This window comes from Homo sapiens, chromosome 9 (assembly GCF_000001405.40).
Source record: "Homo sapiens chromosome 9, GRCh38.p14 Primary Assembly".
In the NCBI taxonomy this organism is placed as follows: domain Eukaryota; kingdom Metazoa; phylum Chordata; class Mammalia; order Primates; family Hominidae; genus Homo; species Homo sapiens.
The window spans coordinates 7,938,408-7,961,670 of record NC_000009.12 but is presented as its reverse complement, the minus strand read 5'-3'; the positions used below and the strand labels follow the sequence as shown (position 1 = coordinate 7,961,670).

The following is a 23,263-nucleotide window of genomic DNA, read 5'->3' as shown; positions in this document are numbered from 1 at the left end:
CAGCCATTTGTGGTTCCAGAATTGATCGTCATCTAGCTAATAAATGGCAGAGTTGAAATGTGAACCCAAGTCTTTTGACTCCAAGGCTCAGGCTTTTAACCAGCTTAACAGCCTTGCTCTTTAGAAAACAACCTATTATGTAGATGATATATCTATCAGAAGCTGAACCCGGGACCAAATACACACATATACCCACATCGTGAAACAAAATAAAAAAGCAGTTAATTAAAACATCTGCCTAATTTTTGGTTGCTCAAAAGGGAAAGAAATGACTTTTCCCAAAGGATTTCTCTCCTTTTCCCTGCGTTAGCTCAATGGGACCCACACTCCAGGTATCCAGGCTTTTCTTGAAGACCCAGATGTGTGTTTTGTTTCCAGGATACCTGAGATACAAGAATGTTCTCCCGCCTACTTCACAATCTCCACTCTGACCTCCCAAACACTCCAAAGTCAGCAGGAGGAAGTAGAAATGAGACAGAGGCCTCTGTCTCCTAATCTTTTCCATAGGCTACTGTTTTCTTTCTTTTCTCATGAGGAAAAATGATAAAAGCAAAATAAACAAATTAGCTACCACTTATGAAAATCCCCAGGAAATTCCTTTTCCAGAGTTCTCACTTACTAATTTGGCTAACATTACCAATGGTAACAGACCCCACGTATCCGCCACAATTGCTGTGAGTTGCAGAGGAAAAAGACTGGGAGGAAATCTTCACTTTTCTTCTGCAACAGCAACCAACAGAAATGAAAGAGCCAGGGGATTTTGCAAAATATCAACTCCTGAGAACTAAGAATGAGAGCCTTTCCTGCCAAGCCCATTCTGTGCCAGTCATCATAAAATACTGTAAGTTGCCATCCTATAGCAATGTTATAATCAAACAGCATATTATAATTTTTATGATCCCATATTTTGCTCTGTGTGTGTGTGTGTGTGTGTGTAAGGAGTGAGAGGCTGTTGGTCAGCTGGAGATGAGAACTAAATAGTTGTTGTTATTGTTATTTTTTCTCAAGATGACCCTTCCTTCCAGAAGAACAATGCGCTGTGATCTTTGGCTACTCAAGCTTTACATCATCCATATTACCCTGCAGCAGGAACAGATTGATGGGTATTTTCACTGCCCCCAGAGAGTTACCCTCTAATCCTTCATTTGCTGCTCCAGCACAATTGCACGGAAGCAATAGCAGGGATAGTTAGAGTGCATACAATTGATTCCAATCCATCCATCACTTAAACTACTGTCTAGGACATCAGGAGGCCACAAAAAAAAAAAAAAAGAAAGAAAAAAAGAAAAACTTTTGAATCAAGAAATGCTTTGTCCATTCCAGGTCAAGGAAAATCATGATGCAATTTGGTTGGATACTTTGACTTTAGAAAAGTTTCTCACTTCTCAGTAGAGAAAGTTTAATGTTTGCAAACATGCAGTAATGAGGTAACAGTTGCAGTAATAAGCATTTTTAAACTGCATTTGTGGAAGAGCAGCTTCTACCTACCACGATCTTTGGATTCTAGCGTTAATATTTCTTACTGGGGCATTATGAAATTTTAAGTGGGAAAGATACTTAGTAACTTAAATAATTTTAATGCAAAATAATTAACACCTATTATCTAAAAGACTAGTCCTGTTCCTTAAGGGGATCAGAGACACAGACACCACCTACAAGCTGCATATTATCTGGGAGGTGGGGGGAAGCATACACATACACTGATAATAAATACATAGGACTCTAAAATGGTTTCCAGTATTTACTGACTCTTCTATGATACTGTATTTAAGGCCATGGAATCTAACCTTAAATTTTCCAGCCACCTAGCCCCACACCCATGGCTGCAAGCATCAAAAGAGTCCACGCTAAAAATGGAAAGACCATTAAAGCTTGGAATTGTAGGAAGAGGAAGGAGACAGGAAGGACACTCCAGGCAGAGATAATAGAGTGGAGTCAAAGAGATTAATAAAATGTTCCATAGGAGGCATTAAGAGGGTGCACCTGGTTCTCAGGTTTGCAGCTTCTTCGACAACTGTCTGTGGTTAAATACGACCTTAAAGGAACAATGAAAAAAAGGGAAACACCATCTCCACAAAGAATAATGCACTGTAAAAAGTGTTAGGTATTTCTTTCCCCTCATAATTCTAAGGGACAAGTCTTCGCAGTTAGAATTCGAGTTTAATTTTTTGAATGTGAAAATAAATTGCATATGTGAACATGCTTTTTGCAAGTTATGTGATTTAGAAAAACACAGGCAAATCTATTGCTTTCATACTTACATTATAAATGCCAGATACATAACCACAATTTAGGTTTCATTTTTTTTCAACTCGAACAATAGTGTTCCCCGAAGGAAAATTGGCTTGACTGAGGTAAATACTAAAAGTTAGTGTTTTGAACTCTTGCAGAATAATTTTTGGCAACTAAAGACCTTGTTTTGCCCAAGTTTTACTCCAAAATAATTTTCTTACTCAGAGTTGATACAGGGAGCGGCAATTCTCACTTGAATGTATGGCAGTTACATGGCTGAGTCAACTTGCATGCTGGAAGATCAGACACAGACATCTTAGACTAGTGGAAGGGGCCTAATTATTTCAGTGATAAGGACTCTGAAGCCCAAAGAAGTAGGTGATTAGTTCAAACTCGTGCTGCTAATTAGTGGATAGGGCAGAACTACTACTAAGTTTAAGTTAATAAGCTTTCAAAAATATTGCCCTAAATGAACACAGAGGGAAGAAACTTTGGCAGGATGATGGCTTGAGGTGTCCCACATTCTTCCACATGGGGTGATGACCCCAACTCACCCCCTTCTTGTGGGGCCAATCAGCAGGGGTGGGCCGACACCAGTTGTCATACTTTTTCCTCTTTGGGTCAGAACTTTAGGGCTCAGTACAAAAGCTTAAGGCCAATATCTGAAAACTGCGCTTCCTGGGGAGAAAGTCAACTTACGCTCTCTTGAACTTCAGTTCTTCCGAACTGAACTTCAGGGTCTCCCTGGCTTTAAGGAATTAAAGAGATATTAAACAGTTGAGTTTATTCGTCTCTATCTCTGAGATTTAGAGAACACAAGAGATCACAGAACAAAGAAGCTCTGCTTTTGTCCACTGAAAGAAGAGAGATGGACAGCCAGCTGAAGGTATTAATACAATGAGCCACAGGACAGACAGGGTTGCTCCTTCCACCATGCTCAGGACGGCTCCCATGTAAGGTACCAGAATGAGTAGACGCAGAGAAATGACATCCTATTAACAGGGCCCATCTGCCAGGGAGTAGACAGAACAGAAAAATCTGAAGAGACCACTAAAGAAATAGAGCTGCTTCCTTTAAAGCTAGATTTGAAAGAAGCAGGAGAATATGTAAAGAAGTCCAATATATAGCAGTTGGCACAGTTCCTGGAGCTAAACTCACAAGATTTTTTAAATTTAAAGATTTAATAGATAAAATAAAAGAGAGGGCTGCATTATAGATGCTCCAATTGGTGGCTTGGAAGATCAGGTGGAAGTATATGTTAAATCATAGAGGAATACAAAGAAAAACTATATGAAAATATGAGGGGAAAACGTACATTTTGAAAGATAGATTCAGGAGAAAAAATAGAAGTTCTAGAATGAGAAAAACAGACAGATGAAGGAGAGACAATCATCAAGCAAATAACTGAAGGCAATTTTCCTGAAGAATACCTGGGTCAGCAGATTTAAGTAGCTCATCAAGTTCCAGATAAGATGCTAAGATAATAAATACATCTTGGTAAAAGAAAAGAGAAAAAAGAGTTAGATTGGAGACTTGGCATGGTGGCTTATACCTGTACTCCCAGGACTTTGAGAGGATCGCTTGAGGTCAGAAGTTCAAGACCAGCTTGGGCAACATAGCAAGACACCTGCTCCAACAACAAAAAAAAAAATAAAAAGTTTACAAATTAGCTGGGCATGGTGGCATGTACCTGTGGTCCTATCTAATCAGGAGGCCAATGCTGGAGGATAGTTTGAGCCCAGGGGTTCGAGGTTGCAGTAAGCTATGATAGCATCACTGCACTCCAGCCTGGGTGACAGAACAAGACCCTGTTTCTAAAACAAAACAAAAAAGTTTGAGATTGGTAATTAAGTTTTGCAATCTCAAAACTATGAGATGGTAGAACAATATCTACAGATGCTTTAGAATAAGAGACTGAATCTGTGATAAGATATTATTCACTAATAGCTTAAAAGAATGCTATTTGCAGAGATTACTTCACTTACATATCCCCTCTTAGGAAATGCTTAAGAAAGAACTCAAACCATAGAATTAAAAACATCTAAATCTCATGATAGAGAAACAGATGAATAGGTAAAACTGGTGAACAAAGAACTTGGTAATAGGTTTAAAAGGAAATACAATTGAATACAATCTGGGAATTTGTAAACTAGGTTATAAACAAGAATTTTTTAAATAGAAGAGGCCTACTGCAAGGAAAATTCTAATAATTGCCAGAAACTAAAAGTACTAAATTATTGAAGATGGCATTTGGATGGGAGAAAGAAGAACACAATAAAAGTATCCCAGAGGTCTCCTATGGAGGGCAGATGGGGTTGAGGGGAAGCTAGTGGAACAAGTGAAAATGTGCTAACAGTCTGGCCTTATTGAGAGAAGGCAGATAAGCAGTAAAACTAATAAAGAACCTTAGTAGAAAAAGAGTTATGCTCTCGTTTTCATATAATATTAAATAAGTATGTTTACAATTATGAACACGAAGAAAAGCAAGATAACCATTAATGAAAGATGAAATAATAGTAGGACTTCCAAGTTAACAAAAAGGAAAAAGAAAATTAATAAACTAATAACTGAATCATACAAATAAATTAAGAAAAAAGAAAAAGAAATAAAACAAAGTAAGGAGTAAGGTATAAAGACAAGCATACCATGATACAAAACATAAAATACTGAATTCTCCCGGCTAAGAGAGAGAATGTTAGACTGAAGCAAAAATCAAAGTTGGGCTATATACCATTTACTAGAAATACAGTTTAAGATGAAATAATAAAGTTTGGAAAAGAAGGGACAAAGACGAGGCAAATATAATTTTAAAAATCAAGAGGACTTGAAATGTTTAATTTTTATTTTTATTTTTTTAAGAGACAGTCTTACTAGGTTACCCAGGCTGGCCCCGAACTTCTCAGCCCAAGGAATCTTCCTGCCTCAACCTCCCCTCTAGCACACCTGGGACTACGGGTATGCTCCACTACCGGGCTTAAAATCAATGCAGAAAGAAACATATTGTAATAACATGTTCTCAATTCTTGTTTCCAAAGTTCTTTCTTTGTGAAATGTTTCCATTCATGGAAAGAAAACAGCACATATTACATCTTTAAAGAGCAGGCTTAGGTTTACCTTTTAAACCTGTTTATGTAAACTTGTCATAATAAAGACTAGTGCAGAAAGAAAAAAACATCAGGAGGGGCAACATTACTATCAGACTAAGTTGAATTTAAAGTTAAAATTTTTAATTAAAAAAAGAAATTACATAATATTAAATATAATTTTTGAAGCAAGAAATACCCTCGTAACCCTGTAGATACCAAACAACACAAAAGTTAAGTAAATAAAGCAAAAACTACTAGTAACTTAAAGATAACTAAGTAAAAAATAAATGATGGTGGCATATTTCAATTTGTATTTTTCAGAAGCAGGAAGATCTAGTAGACAAAATATTAATAAAGACAGAAAAGTTTAATAATATAGTCAATCAATTGAATAGGTGTGTTGAATCTTAAAATTGGGAAATAGAGAATATTTTTGTTATATGAAATGAGAATTCATAAAAATCAATCACATACTTGGTTGGATACAAATAATACTTTAATAATGACTTTCTGTCATGAAGGCCACACTGAAAATATTATAATAAAACAAGAAAAAATCTTAAATGGTAAAATCTTATCCTCTTTGAAATTATGAACCACTTTTCTATATAATTTTTAGCCTAAAGGGGAAGTAAAACTAAAATTACATTCTCTCTGGAAACAATAAAAATAAAAAGCACTTTATACTAACACTTATAAAAAATAGCAAAAGCAACATTCATGGCAAAAGCTATAAACATAATTGCCTTTACATTTAAAAAAGAAGAATAAAACTAAGGAAAGTTTTACATTCATCTTAAAAAATGCAAAAAAAAAAAAAAACCAGAATCTACCAAAGCAAAGTAGGAAAAGAGAATTAATTTAATTCAATCTTAAAGTGATGAATTAGAAAACAAAGCAAAATGCAAACAGTAGAGAAGATAAATTCAAAAGCCCGGTCTTTGACTAGCCCACAAGAAGAGATAAACATCTTATAATCCAAATTAAAGGGGGAAAAAAGGAGAGCACAAAAACCCACAAGGTTATGGATGAGAAAGGAGACATAACCACATTTAGAATCAGAAAAAATTCAAGGAATACAAGAGATTATATGTAACTCCATGGCAACAAATTTAAAATTCTAAAGGAACTGGATAATAAAAGTAACTAAAGTTAAATAAAATACTGGAAAACTGGAACAGACCAGGTAATACAGAAGTTAAATATTAACTATCAACAATAGCAACTGAATAACATTATGGCTGATTTTCACCACACTTTAAAGAAACAGACCCTCCTGTTCTTTGTTCCTTCATTCCTTGCTTCCTCCTTTTCTACCTTGGACAAAAATGTATCAAAAATGTAAGTCAGTGTTTTAGGCTCTATGGTGCAACATTAAATAAAATAAACCCTTGTCCTTAAAGCGCTTACCTTCTATTTTACAGCTCTTAAAAAAGATGATAGGTTGCTTAATTCATTTTATAATGTAATCATTGTAAGACCAAAACCTGTTCAAAATACTATGATACAAGAGATCCACAGACCAAACTCACTAACAAATACAGATATGATATAATCAAATGGAATGTAGATAGTGTCAAAAGATACACTGACTAAAATATTTGTTTCAGGATTGTAATCATGGTCCCAAATCAAGAAATCTATCAATATAATTCACTGTATTGACAAATTAAAGAAAGAAACAGTATAAACATATGAATGGTATCTGAGAAAGTATCTGTTAAAATTAAACAATTCCTAAGACAAAACTCAAACAAAATATGAATAGATGGAAAAGTATTATCTACATAAAGTATTAATATATTGGTTTCATAACTATTTAAGCTGCTTTCCCAAAACACAGAGCCTTTTCTCTTCATTTGTAGCAGCTCTATAGAATTAAAAATTTTGATCTTAGTTTTTACATATTATCAGAATAACTATGGCCATACCAGTCACAAAGTAATTCAAGGACTTAGAGATAGTCAACACCTAACCACTCTGCAAAATGAAAGACCTTAAGCCTAATGAGCTTTCTGCAGAATTTCTACCCTTCAGCCTCTTGAGCCTTGCACAGGGAAAGGGATTAACAATTTTTTTTTCAAAGTGAGCAAGTTATTTAAACTCCATGAGACCTAGTTTTTTCATAGCAGAACAGGAAGGCATGTTTTGCCTATCTCATCAAGTTGCTTAAACAATCTAATCATTGATATATGTAAAGTTGTTTTGTGAACTGAAATCCAAAAAATTGTGAGTTTCTTCTGCTAATTTAAAAGAGAATATGCTTAAATTTCAAATGAATAAGGAAGAGAAATGCTAAGCATTTTCAAAGAGATCTCCGAATGAATGCATTCTAGACATGGATTCTCAAGAAAGACTTCTGGAAAGACATTATACTGTGCAGGATATTTATCTTCGCTTCTTGCAGCCATCGCTATCTATCTCATATGACAGTCATTTATGGTATGATTGCCCTTGATTATTCTAAGGCTTATCTGGAAATTTACCCATTCAGTTGACAAATATTTCCTGAGCATTTTCTATGTGCTAGGCTGCTGTAACAAAATACCATAAACTGAGCGGCTTATAAACAACAGAAATTTATTGATTATGGTTCTAGACTCTACAAAGTCCAAGATCACCAACAGATTCAGTGTCTGATGAGAGCTCCTTCTTTTTAGTTCATAGATGGTGACTCCTGGCTACATCTTCACAAGGTGGAAGGGGCTAGCTATCTCTCTGGGGTCTCTTTTATGACCCCATTCCTGAGGATGAGCCCTCATGACCTAATCACTTTCCAAAGGCCCTATCTTTAATATCATTACCTTAGTGATTAGAATTCAATGTGTAAATTTTGGAGAGACAAAAGCATTCAAACCATAGCAACATCCTATGTTAGCTTTGGTTTAAGCAATAATGTTCCTGAAATCACTGATTTGATATGCTAGTTTTACATTTTTCAAATACCATGTTAAAGAATACACACACACACACATTTTTAAGTCCATCTATGTACCAGCAAAACAATCTCCCAAACCACAAGTAGTACATGCATCTTGTTTTGGGAAACAGATGAGGAATATAAACTAGTAGATAGTAAATTAAGATGCACCTCCTATGGTCTAGGATTAGTTTAATGTTAAGGCAGGTCTCCTGCCAGAACCAGATTTTTGTGGATACGAGGAGAAGATCGCGCCATTTCTTAAATCTCCTTATTAGAAATATCATTTGCTCTCCATGAATGAAGGAAGAGGCCCACACTACAATATCTGAAACCAGAAGCTGAACTTGTTGCTTGCTAAGAATAGCAGGACCCTGTTTGTAGGACACAGTTTTTCAAAGCAAACTTCTGATCAAATATAGGGTAATGAGAAGCATGGAATTCAAGACTGGTGGGCTTTCAGAAGAGTCTCCATAGACACTCATCTGTTGGCCTTTAGCCTGGAAGCCTGGGCTCTGGAGTGCAGCTGTTGCTGATTGGCTGACTCAGAAGCTAGGGCTTATCTGAGTCATTGGCGGACTCCAAGAAGCTGGGTTATGGTGCATAAGAGTAATTTGCCATTTTGGAAGAGGTCTAACACCAGTGCTGACAGAGTGAAAAGCAGTCACTACTTTCCTGGGTTGATAGGCAAGTTTTATTCACACAACCAAAAAGAAGAGATAAAATAAGTAGTAAAATGATTCCAAAGTGGATGACGAGTTGATTTAACCTCCGGATTCTAAATTGTGCCTATTGAATAATTCTTTTTAATCTTTTTTTTAAAGTAAAGCCTGTTAGAGCAGCAGTAATAATTTATTCAAAACTGCTTGGACTACTAATCAAAGCTTAGGAGAACACATAGCTCTCAATAAATAAATAAATAAATCTCTTCTGCCACTTGCTCTACTACTTGGAACTCACCATACAGAGCTGCCCATGTGAGAATCAGCTTCCACTAAAATGTTTACTCTTGTGATTTTGCATGATGTCTTACTACTTTTGGGCCAATCTCAGTGTCAGCCACCTATAGAAGATGATGACTGTCTGTTTAGAGGTGACCCCCATAATTTTCAAAATTTTTTTTCATAGGCCACATAGTCTTCATTTTAACTTTTATCACCCCAAATACCCCTCTAAATTTTGACAAACCCTGACTACTCATTTTTCTCGTGACACTTTAATGAACAGACAGATATATACATGTATAGTGAACATGTGGACTCAGAGAAATCCTCAGGTGTGCAGATGGTTTACTTACTCATTCAAAGCACATTTTTGTAATACTTTAAATATGAAAGTTATGCTGTTCTGCCTCTTTACCTCCCATTGAACTCCCTAGATTGGATCCAGGCAAGAGCTTTATGATTTTTAAAAATATTCAATATGATTTATTTCATATATATGAAATATATATATTACACACACACTCTTGCACACACACACATACATTTGCACACACATACAAGCCACTAACTTTCACATGTGTTTGTGTATGTGTGTACTTCTTCTAATTTCCCTAAGCTTTGGATAATTCTTTTCCTTAAAATACACTTGAAGTTTGGTTTATAAGTAATATCCAGAATTTAATGTCATGGCATAAATTTCAGAACTAACAATAGGCATAAAAACAAATATGTATGCCTTTCATATCACTAATTCCTATTGTCACCTATAAAATGTAGAAAGATGTTATATTGTGAAATTATCATGTATGCTATTTGGGTACAGGGTTCATTGTTTTAATTAATTTGACCAAGTTTTAAAATATTAAGATATGTTGGAACTGCTCTGTTGCAAATTCAGTAACATCTTTTTGGAGTGTGATGCTGCTATTATCTTTCCCCGTAGACTTTCACTAAGCTTTTTGTCTTTGTTTTGGGGGAAATAATGTGACATAATTAATCAACATTCTCTAGGTCTATATATCACAATATATAATTCATCACAGTTGCTAGGAAATCTGGCTTCTCCTATTGTTAGCAACCAGATAATGATAATGATGGCAATAACTTTTTTATCTATTCTTCCATTCATGTTTATGAATTATAAAATAAAACTTACTGAGTTCCTACTAAGTGCCAATATTTTTCAAGATACTTCAGGAGATACAAAGATGACTAGTTTGCAATCTAGTGAGAGGCTTATATTGTTATTCACAGGATCGCAATAATTTATAATGTGAACAGGAGCTATAAATGTAGATAAAGTGACCCTAACTCAACCACTTACAACCAGGGCAATTTGTGGCAAGTTACCTAAATAGTCTAAGCTTCAAATTTCTCATCTGCAAAACAGATACAGTAATAATAATGCCCTCATAGAGAACTTATGAAGATTTGTCGAATAATTATGTGAGCAATATGTTCAGTACAGTGCCCAGCATACTGTAAATGCCTATTCAATTAACAAAATTTATGTTTAAAACTAAAAAAATTACATTGAAAATATGTAATATAAACTATTTGTATTATTATTTATTAGGAGAAAAATGATTATTTCCTATTATATGGAGAGGTATGGAGAAAGTAATTGACTTATCCAGGGTTACATAGCAAGTCATTGACAAGTCAATATCAGAAGTACTCTCAAGAGAAACCATGTCCAAAGATAGCCAGCTTCAATCATCCTGAATTTTTCCTTAACTCATAAGAAAGACTCTCAGGTGAAATCCTCAAGGTAGGGATGACTCACAGCCACTCTGGTGGAGCAAAGGACATTTTATAGTTTTAATCCACGTGCTTGCTTCCAGCCCACCAAAGGACGGCATCTAGTTTGTGAAGTTCTGACTACACATTAGAATCAAACACTGAAGGATGTGATCACAGAAGGATTTGCTTGTGTTTTACCACCTCCTGCCTTAGCTCTGATCAGGCTGCCACTCTCAAACATTCTTCACCTCTGAGACTGGCCAAAGGGAAATAGCCCTTGCTTGAAAATGCCCTCCTGAGTATGTCTGTGTATATCTTTGAGACCCTTACTAGTTCATTCCCTGTGCTGCGGATTGCATTTGGCAGATTCCGAAGGGCAGGATTACAATTAAAAAGAAAAAGTTAAGGGTTAAGAGTAGAAAAGAAATTTATCTTGTATAATATTTCCAACTAACACTTCCACTAGTTTCTTTGGGTCATCCCTCCAGAGAGGGAAAGGAGTAAAGGCACAAGCTGTACGTTTTCAGCTGACCTTCTGACATGCTATGAAGAAAGAAACTAAATTAACAAGGAAGAAAACTGAGCAAATTCTGTTTCCCTTTCTGCCAAAAGCATCCTGTCCTGGTCTTGCCTAAGATTTTTTTTTGTTAACTAATCTCCACCAGCTCTGCCCCCAACCTCAGATTCTCGTATATGCTCTTTTTTGGGCTTTTCTCCACAGCACTTACACCATTCAACCTAACAGAGGTTTCCATGGTCTACCTTACCCATCAGCTAATATGTGCTTCAAGGGAGTGTTCATCTTTGTGACTTATCTCACATAATGCTTGCTACAAAGAAAGGCTGCTAGGTAGGGTAGAAAGAATGTTATATCTGGAGTCATTCAGATTGCAGTTCAAATCTGGCCTCGGCTTCTTGTTAATTGTGCTATATAAAATACATTAAATTATTTGAGCCTCAGTTTCTTAATCTATAAAATAGAAATAATATATGCTTTATAGAGTTGTTCTGAGGATTAGAAGTAGCAAATGCAAAGTGTCTGTAGCATAGTAGAGACAATAAATAATTTATTATTATTACCACAGCAGGTGCCTAACTAATGTTTGCTGAATGAGAGAGATTATGAATAACTATGATATACTTATTGTGAGCCTCAGGTCTCTGTATCTACTTTAAAACACACATCGTTTTTCACTTTGGAGCATGCATCAGTACTTCATTCCTTTTTAGGGCTGAATAATATTCCACTTTATGAATATACCACATTTTGTTTATCCATCAGTTGATGTATAGTTGGGCTGTTTCTCCCTTCCAGCTGTTAAGAATAATGTGCTATGAATTTTCATATCCAAATTTTGGTGTGAATATATATTTTCATTTATCTTGGACATATACCTAGGTATGAAATTGCTGGTTCATATGATACTTCTATGTTTAACTTTTTGAGAAACTGCCAAACTGTTTTTCACAGCTGCTGCACCATTTTACATTCCAACCAGCAAAATGTGGGGACTAAAATTTCTCCACATACACACTGACACGTTATTTTTCATTTTTTTTTAAATTATAGCCATCAACTAAATGTGAAGGGGTATTTCATTGTGATTTTGATTTGCATTTTTATAATAACTAATGATGCTGTGTAGCTTTTCTATGCTTATCAGACATTTGTGTATTTTCTCTAGAGAAATATCTATTCAACTTCTTTGTTCATTTTTTAGTTGGGTTGCTTTCTTTTTGTTAAGTTGTAACAGTTCTTTATATATTATGGATACCAGACCCTCATCAGAAACATGATTTGCAAATATTTTCTCCCCTTCTGTTGGTTGTTTTTTGGTTGTTGTTGTTATTCAATGAAACACTTTATGTTGTACTTTTATGCACAAAATTTTTAACTTTGATGAAATTCGACTTATTTTTTCTTGTTTTGCTTGTGTTTTGGTGTCATAATTAAAAAACTGTTACCTGATCCAAGACCACAGATTTAAACCTATGCTTCCTTTCAAGAGTTTTAGATATTTAGCTCTTTTATTTAGGTCCTCGATCCATTTTGAGTTAATTTTTTTTAATGGTCTGAAGTAGGGGTCCAGCTGTATGGGTTATTTCTGGACTTTTTGTCTTATTCCAATAATCCGTATGTCTATATTGTTATTCCAGTACCACACAGCTTTAATTATTCAGAGATGTGTAGTAAGTGCTGAAATCAGAAAGTATATTAATACTTTCACTTTGTTCTTTTCTTTCAAGATTGTTTTAGCTATATGGGGTTCCATGAAATCCAATATGAATTTTAGGATCAACTTGTCTGTTTCTGAAAAAAAAAAAAAAAAAAAAAAAAAGGCTGTTCGAATTTGGTAAAGATTTTATTGAATCTATATATTGTTTCAGCAATATTTCCATCTTAAAAATATTGTCTAATAACCCATGATCACGGATATCTTTCATTTATTAATTTTTTTATTTCTTTTAACATTGTTTTGTAGTTTTTCAGTATAAAAGTCTTGCACTTTCTTGGTTAAATTTAATCCTAAGTGTTTTATCATTTTTAATACTATTGTAAATTGAATGTAAATGCAAATACTCATTGCATACATATGGAAATACAACTGATTTTTGTATGTTAGTCTGTGATAAGTAGGTTTTAACCATCATTAACAGCAGCTTGAAATAAAAAAAAAAATAAGAGACTGAGATGGATATGTGAAAAGGAGAAGTCCCACCTTTAGCCAAGGAAAATATTTTAAGAGTTTATAAGGCCTGTGCCTGCCCTCAAGTTAATATCTCTCAGCTTCAAGCCCAACTTTCTATACTAGATTTTTTAATCCTGGGGCTAGAACTCTGCAAACACCATTTCAGCTGTACTACCTGCTCCCTGGTTAGGCTCTGCCATTAGAGGATGTGAGAGAGGGCCTACAAAGCTGGAAGAGGCAAAAGAAACTGTCTCCTTTCCATTTATTCCCTGTGGTCTTGTCTCGTGCCAGCTTCTTGTGAGCATCACCCTAGCAATGCTTCTTCACAATGGCTGCAGCAGTTCCTCCCCACTGCAGCAGCTGAATTCAAGTTGCAGTTTCTCTAATGCTTGCAAGAGACACCAGTTTCAACAGAACAGAACCTCTTCTTCAGAGGTCTGAGTTACAGCTAAGCATGGACCTTCCTCTGAGTTTCTAAGATTAATAATTCCAATCTCTATCACTGTTCTCCCAATTCTAAGAATAGAAACTACTTCCTGTAGTTGCTATTTTCATGATACCTTAGTTACTTGACTGAACAACTTAACAGCTTGTTAACAAATATTTATATTAAATTATCTATGTCCTTATAACTGGTGTGGATTCTGTCACCTACCTCAGCCCTGCTAGATACAGGTGCTAACCTTGTTTAGAACCTACTGTGTGCCAAGTATTGTGCCAGTTTTTTTCTACATTTCTTTTCTTAGGTAAGTAATAGTTTCGGTGTAAGGGCGCCAGATACATTTAGCAGCAAAGAACTATAGTATTTTCCTTATTGTCACCCACATTTTTTGCTTGGCTATAAGCAATGGGGAAGGAAGAAAGCCCCAAAGTTTAGAAAGATAGTTTTCACCCTAATCCACCAACATTCAAGGAGAACTATGCATGTGAGGGACTCTTAATCACATGGAAAATAATGTTACAAGATATTGCATCCTGAACCAGCACTGCCCAATAGAGTTTTCTGCAATAATATAAATGTTCTGTATCTGTTGAGAATTCTCCAGTATGGTAGCTTCTAGTCAGGTACGACTAATGAGCACTTGAAATGTCACTTGTGTGCTTGAGAAACTGGGTTTTTAATCTTAATTAATTTTAACTTAAATACCCACATGTAGCCAGCCAGCACTATTAAATTAAATTTGATGGCCAAGTTAGACTTTTCAAGGCAGCAACAGATGGGCATGGCTGAAGAAGTACTTCCTGGTTTTCTGGATGCATAATTTCACAGCAAACACAAATGCTAGTTGGGATTGTTAAATTGTGTGCCTAGGTGAGTTGTCAATGAGCTTTCATGTATGAAAAGACTGTCAAAAACAGATCATTCATGCTGGGGCTCACCTCCACAGGTGCCAGGGAACGTCTTGCCTTAGGGAAGAAAGCGAATCTATACTCCATGATTAGTGTGTGATTTTATTTTACAGACAGGCATCAATGCCTGGTGATTTTGATGCACTTGGCTTTTATCTTGTGAGATTTATTTAAAGAAGCACATGCGTGACTTAGAGCCTTGGGGAATGATAACATAAAAATAGGAAAGCATAAAAGGAAGCAAAAGAAAACCTGCTTCATTTGTAGAAAGGTTCACTCCCCTTTCAGGTAACTCCAAATCCTACCACCTGCATCTCTTCTCTTTTCAAATCCCTTCTCTAACTCAACTCTTATAAAATGTCTTTCATTATGAACCCATCAGAGAAAGCTTTCCCATACACACTCCATCCTGTGCCCCTCAGCGTCTAGTAGAAGAAGCCAGTAAAAAGGGCAAGAGAAAAGCAATGCTGACTGGGAGGTAGGAGTTGAGAAGAAAGTAGTAAAATGGATTTTCATTGTATTCATAGTGCTTTCTTTCTTTAAAAAAAAGCTAGAAGTACATAGAAGTAAAATTTTAACTTATTTCTAGATGAAAATATTACTCTTCTTACATTTTTATAATTCAATTTTTTAAATTTAAAAATGAAAATAAAAGCAATGGTTAGTTCAACCACTGTGGAAGACAATGTGACAACTCCTCAAGGATCTAGAACCAGAGTACCATTTAGCCCAGCAATCCCATTACTGGGTATATACCCAAAGGATTATAAATCGTTCTACTATAAAGACACATGCACACATATGTTTATTGCAGCATTATTCACAATAGTAAAGACTTGGAACCAACCCAAATACCTATCAATGATAGATTGGATACAGGAAATGTGGCACATATACACCATGGAATACTGTGCAGCCATAACAAAGGATGAGTTCATGTCCTTTGCAGGGACATGGATGAAGCTGGACACCATCATTCTCAGCAAACTAACACAGGAACAGAAAAGCAAATATCGCCTGTTCTTACTCATAAGTGGGAGTTGAACAATGTGAACACATGGACACAGAGAGGGGAACATCACACAGTGGGGCCTGTCAGGGGGTGGGGGCCTAGGGGAGGGATTGCATTAGGAGAAATACCTAATGTAGATGACGGGTTGATGGGTTCAGCAAACCACCATGGCACGTGTATACCTATGTAACAATTCTGCACGTTCTGCACATGTATCCCAGAACTTAAATCATAATTAAGAAAAATAAAATAAATAAATAAATAAAAGAAATAATGACCCCAGACAGTATGCTACTCCACTTTTTTATGTTGGTGTTTTCAACTATTATCATTCTGGAACAGATGGATCTTCATTGTGTCCATGTTGTTAAGTTAACATTGTCCAATAACTATTTGTTTATTTTTTCAAGTTCATTTGGTATTTATTTGGCAATACCCCCCAACATGACTGTTTTCATTAATTAGCCACAGGGTGGAGGAGGGGGCACTTAGGACATATTGAAAAATGGCCCTCAGTTTAACCTCCCACAAAACATGAAGGTATAATTTTTTCCTTATGTAAGTTTGCAAAGTACTTTATAGGCTGTTAAAAGTAAGACACTTTACTAAAGGGCTCACCAATTAAATCAAGGATAGTGAATCAGTTAAAAGTTCACAACTAAGTGAACAAAGGAAATGGAACTCAATAAAGCTATACTTTAGCCAGGGTATTTAAAGATACTTGCTTCTTCAGGTTGGTTTCAGCTTCAAATATTTTCATGTAGGGCCCTTGAGTTCATTTATATTTATCAGACTGTGCATGCCAATTTGGTTTGGTAATAATGGTCTTTGATATCTAAATACAAAATAGAACATGTCTACTCTTTTCTGAGTGGTTTTATTTCTATGACCGTAGGCTTCTGGCAGTTGGACTAGTTCCAAAGGTGACAAGAGTAAAGGCTCTTTTCCAAGAACATCTCAACACCTTTGCTGAAACATGTTACTTGTGGTAATAACTTTTTCTGCTCGTTTCCTATTTTGCTGGTATTTGTTATATCACCTATATTATGATGGTCTCTCTGGAAGTGCCAGAGTTGTGTTTCAAATAGAATAATAATTTTAATCTTCTTTCAAAGTTTTTGTATAAAAACAGGCCATTTCTATCATGGATGTTGATGGATAATGATATTCTTATTTGACATAAAAATCTTGGAAGTAAAAGCAGGCTTGGTAGAGTCTGAAGCAGGAATAAAGAAAGACATAAGACCAGACATTATTCCCACACAGGTTTTCTACAGAAACAGAGGAAGTTATTGCATTTTATATAAAATACTGTCATTTTCTTGCTGATTATGTAGACTTTTTTATTGGGCATCTTTCTATGTCTCTAAATAGGTGGTCTATTAGTCTTTTAGCAAGTTATTTATTGTTTGGCATCCTTGTGCAGATTTTATAAAAAATGTGGATTTTTAAAATGTTAATTTAATACAAGCAATGATGTATATAAAATGGTATATTTTGACTCAATATTAGGAATCTTTTTTATTATTATTGTACATTCTATTTTGGATATTATCTCCTCCATTATCCTTGTTTCATTAATATCTGTGATTTGTAATGAATATTTTTTGGCCTCAACATATTTATGATATGATGCCTTATTAATAGAAATGATGACATTCTAGTAATGATGCAGGGGTGATAAGTGATAAGACAAATATAATTCAGGGATTACCCTTCCCCACTCCAGTATTAAGAATCTCCCTTATAAGTAATGAGTGGAGTTAATTTTGTCATTTCTAGGTCATGTTAAATTATAAAGTTTCTTCTCATCTAAATTATTACAATCCAGTACTTTTAAAGAGCTGAATTTCGACAATGATTTTTCTTAATATTTTATAAAGAATAAGAAAATACCAGTCAATTATCTGTTTCACAGATTGCGAATGTTGCATTGATTCACCCATTTTTGTGAGCCTAGTGCATTAGTGAAGGAGAGATACAATATGATGGCCTTAATCAAAGGATTTGATTTATTGGAGTCTACATGAGTTTACTCATTTATAAAATGATTTAGACAAAACAAGACTTTCCCAATGTTTCTGTGGAATGCTAGCCACATAAAATGGTCTTTAAAGTAATGTTTTCCATCATGAAATATGTATGGGTTATTAGTCTGTACTCATGCTGCTAATAAAGACATACCTGAGACTGGGTAATTTATAAAGGAAAGAGGTTTAATTGACTCACATTTCAGCATGGCTGGGGAGGCCTCAGGAAACTCACAATCATGGAGGAAGAGGAAGCAAACATGTCCTTCTTCACATCGTGGCAGCAAGGAGAATTGCCAGAAGGGGAAATGCCAGATGCTTATAAAACCATTAGATTTCATGAGAACTCACTCACTATCATGAGAACAGCATGCAGGTAACCATTCCCATGATTAAATTACCTCCCACTGGGTCCCTCCCATGACGTGGGAATTATGGAAGCTACAATTCAAGATGAGATTTGGGTGGGGACACAGCCAAACCATATCAATGGGAAATATGACCCATAAAATGCTCCTTTTGATAATTAATATTAAACACTGAAATATTTGACCCAATAATTCCTTTTGAAAAATGTATTACCTAGTAACCACCTGTAGTATTCATGGTAAAACAGCAAACTGATTCAATGTGAGAGGTGGCATTGAAACATTTCTGACACGACAGAGAAAATCTTTGGCAAAAGTGATCAAGAACTAAAGAAAAGTCACAAACAAATAATCTTTGACTTGAATGAAAAATAAATACCTATAATTATGATAGGAGAATACTATAACAATTTTATTCTAAAAATCTTGAAGGCCAAGATGGACTTCCTAAAATTTTGGAGTTACTTTCTAGAAATATTGTTTAAAAATGACTCAAGAAAAATTCTGCAAATTAATAACCATTATTAAAATTGAAATCAGTAATAAAAAAAATCCTAATTCAAATCATTCCAGGACCAGATGATTATTTATTATTTTCCTAAAAGGTTTTAGTAATGCCTTAATAAATATTCCTTAATTCAATCTTAAACCTATAAAATTGTATTCAATTTGGAAAAAAATGCTACCCAACTTGTTTTATATTGCAAATATAACTTATATAACAAACTAGATATATACAGTATAAGAAAAACAAAATTTTAAAAATTCAACCAACAAGCAAAATTCGAGATCAACCTCAATTATAAACAAAAACTTAATTAAAATACTAGCAAATATAATTCGGCAGTTTATTAAACAAGCACTATAACATTATCAACCATGAATTTTTATTAATCATGAAAATATAATACAGCTTTATAAAACCTATGAATAGAAATTAAAGGGAAAATTTCATATCATTATAATAAATCAAAAAATGACATTCAATACAATTCAACATCTGTGCTTGATTTTTAAAAAAATTCTAAGAAAACACTATAGAAGAGGATTTCTTTAGCCTGATGAATACCGTTCACTAAAAACTTACAAATTCCATACTCAATGTTGAAACTCTAGAAGCAGTCCCAACATGAGGATGTTCACTACTGACAATTTTATTCAATATTATACAGGAGATCCTGGGAAATTCAGTAAGACAAAGAAGTATGTGGTATGAGAATTGGAAAAAAAAAGTAGGCAAGCTTTGTGTTCATGTGACCCTAAACTAATATGAAAGAAAAAAAGACAAAAAAGTAAATAAAAACTAAGATAATTTTGAGAAATGAGTTTGGGAGACTTTGTACCAAGGCTTATTATAAAGCTCTAGTGATGAAGACAGGCTGTATTGGAGCACAAATAGACAGTGGACCAGTAGAACGGATTAGAGAGCCCTCATACAGATCTATTCCTAAAGGAAAACCTACTATTTGACAAAGGTGGCCTCACATATCAGAGAGAAATTGATGGGTGAAATTGACAATCTACATGAAAAAATCAAATAAGATCAGATGGCTATTTCACACTATATACAAAACAAAGTTTCAAGTGGATTAAAAATCTAAATGTAAAAAAGCAAACACTTTAAACTCTTACAAATTCTTTTAAACATTTTTTTCTTATGTCAGGGTAGAGAAAAAATTCTTAGACTAGTCATTAAAACACAATAATGATTTTTTAAAAAAATACTGCTAAAGTCAAAAACATCAGAATTTCTGTTCAAAGTCTCTGTATATAAGATTAAAAGACAAAGAACAGACCTAAAAGAGATACTTGCAACTCTTATCACTGATAAAGATTAATATTCAGATTTAAGAACTCCTATTAGTAATTATGAAAACATTGAACAACCTGATGGAAAAGAAGGAAAAGGATATAAACAGAGACACCACAGAAGAAGAATCAGAATTGATAATAAACTTATAAAAAGATGCTCAACCTCATTACTAAACAAGGAAATGTTAATAAACCAAAATGAGATACCACTTCACATCAATCATATCAACAAAGATGTAAAAATTTGCCAATGCCAAGCATTAATGAGAACGTGGTGAAATAAACACTTTGGAGGGCAATTTGATATCACCAAGTAGCTGCTTCAACCCATCAGTGTTGACATATACAATGAAACATACCCAAGAATGTTAACTATAACATTTTAAACATAGCAAAGCCTAAAAACAACATAACTGTCCATCTAAAGGAAAATAGTCTGGTATGTTCATACAACAAAATAATGTGCAACAGTTAAAATGAGTGAACTATAGATAAGTAAGCTGCAGAATGACACAAACACTATATTATTTGTATATAGCATGAAATTTGTAAAAGGATATTAGTTAGATACACACATGCTATGTTCTAAAAGCATGCAAGCGAAAGATAGCAACTTCAGAATAGCAGTTACTTCTACATAAAAGGAATGAAAATTTGGTTGGAGAAGAGCAACACAGGTGGATTAAACTCTCTCTCCAATGTTTTAGTGCTTACAAATATCTGAGGCAAATATAGCAACATTTTAACATATGATCAGGCCGCGTGGTGAGTGCATGAGTGTTTATTACGCTATCCTCTATAACTCTGAATGTTCTTAATATTTTGCAACCTTTACCTTTGTTCCTTGTTTTTGAAAAATTAAAAATTAAAAAAACAAGAAACAAAGGTACAGTGAGTTTTGTGGAACCAAATATAAATAAAGCAATAAAATATGACTGTCCTAGCTAGTGATGATTTGCCTGGACCTCAAGGCTAAGAAATCACTGCACTTACTTCCTCTCTCCCAACTCTAACTGGAACCCTCCTGTTAAAACACATCCTCCTTCCCCCAGCATCCATCTTTGGTTTCCAACCTGGCTTGCTTACTGGGCACTTCCTTTGTTTCTCTCCTCACCTCTACAGCAATATTCTTCTACAAGGCTTTCAGGTTTCAGGAGCTGACCCTTAATCCAGATTTTGAGTACAGAATCATTTCCTTGGGCAGACCCATGTCTAACCATCTGCTCAGATTCTTCCCTGGATATGAGTGAACTGTGGTATATTCATACTGTGAAATACTTCCCTGCAGTTAAAGGGAATGAACTATAGCCACATTTCTCAACATGGATTTATCAAAATATAATAGGGAGCAAAAGAAGCAAACGCTTCTCTCAGGAGCCGCTTCTATTTGCCCTCCTGGGCTGGAAAGCTGCCCACAGCCTGGCCTCAGCTGGAAGTGGGCACTGCCCTTCCACAGCTGCAGTACTTGAAGAGTCCGAAAATGTGGGAAAAGCTTCTGCTCTAATGTTTATTGAAAGAAGATGAATAGAATACAAAATAATACCTCTGGTAGGTTTGAACACTGTAAAAATTATGTAGAGAGAGCAGGACTAGAAGGGAATAAAGAGAAATGAAAATAGATTTTTAAAAAATGTGTCAGGATCGTGGGTAATTTTCTCCCCTTTCTTTTGTATCCCATCGATATTGTTATGTGTTTGTGTAACAAGTTATTTTAAAATGTTAAAAAGCGTAGGTTGTAGGACACATAGAATCAATCTGTAATCTTTCTGGTAATGAACAGTGAATTTTCTCTGAGTTGATAATGGGCTTCAATTCTGCTGTCAGAATCACAGTTTATCTGCAATTCCAGGACACCCATTTCCTACTGATCACATGCTCTCGGGTAAGAATAACATAGAGCACCACTGTATTATACAGCTCTCTGAAATTTTAATCACGACTTGCTTTTCAAAGCAACAGACTAATTACTTCATTTAACATCATAGGATTGATAAAGAAAGATTACAGGTATTTCAAAGGCAATTGGTCAAGTTGGTATAAACAAACTGCTCGCCTCAAACTGTTGAGGTGTTAAGATTCCACTTGATAGAATGACCATAGGCCAGTAAATGCTGCAACTGGATGGTAACAAAGCCCTTCCGGGAGCAGGAGTGCAATGTCTGGTCTAGATGATAGGTGTTGACAAAGTCCTGGGTTCCAGTTCTAGCTCTGCCACTGAGTAATCATGAGAAAATGCTTGGTATTTCTGAGTTTCAGTTTTCTCTTTGGTGAAACAGAGATGACGGTGTACACCTGACGGAATGGATGTCAGCACGAACTGAGATAATGAATGTAAAATAGTTAACTAGAGACCTGGCCCCTAGCAGATGCTCAGTAAATAACAGCTTTTATTTTTCAATCAGCTCATTTTCCCTGAGCTCTGTTATGTATGGCCCTTAGCTAAGTCATATAGGTGGGCCATTTTTGAGGAGGCCTACAGGTAGAGTAGCAATTGACACTAAATGTAATTGCCGAAGATGTGGCAGGTCTGGGGAATGCTATTATTCGAAGAATACTATGACTATGGATTAATAATATAGCTCAACCCCCCCTCCACCGATTTTTCCACTCAGAACAAATCTATAGAATATAGCCATATAACATAGGGCCGAACCGAGAACACCACAGCATGCAGTTCTCTTCAATATACCAACACAATCTTGTGTGTGATAATACCCCTTATGCTCAGGCTGGTAAATTATTTCTAAACTGGAAGTTTGTCACATATTCTTATTGACAGAAAAAGAATAAAAGCAAAGAAAAGCAAAGCAAACAAAAGGTCATAGGAGAAGAGCCTATTGCAAAAAGAATAAAAGTCAGCCCATTGTTGTGGAGCAGAATCCGCAGGGCTATGATATAGGATCACTAGAATGTGGGACTGGCACCTAGAAGAAACCTCCTGCTGCCCCTGCCACAAGCATCAGAGAACCACTGGTTTATCTCTCTGGTTTTTCTTTTCTGGAATCTACGTGTGTTTATCCAGAAGAGCCGGGGGTTGATGATCAAGGAAGCAGCTCCTTAATCAGCCTAAACGGGA

The 23,263-nt window shown here is 35.2% G+C and overlaps 1 long non-coding RNA gene across 6 annotated transcripts in view; it reads left to right on the top strand.

The window, feature by feature from the left end:
* Positions 1-437: 437 nt before the first annotated feature.
* The window catches only part of LOC105375971 (uncharacterized), a 46,690-nt gene continuing 23,864 nt past the window's right edge, over positions 438-23,263 (top strand). For 4 of the 6 annotated variants that reach the window (XR_929463.3, XR_929462.3, XR_929465.3 and 1 more), the window contains exons 1-2: positions 438-841; positions 1,009-1,103. This is a non-coding gene — a long non-coding RNA (uncharacterized LOC105375971). Of the gene's footprint in view, positions 842-1,008; positions 1,104-3,042; positions 3,785-16,872; positions 16,961-23,263 lie in introns of those variants that run through there. The other 2 variants (XR_929467.2, XR_929466.3) reach the window with 2 other exon arrangements.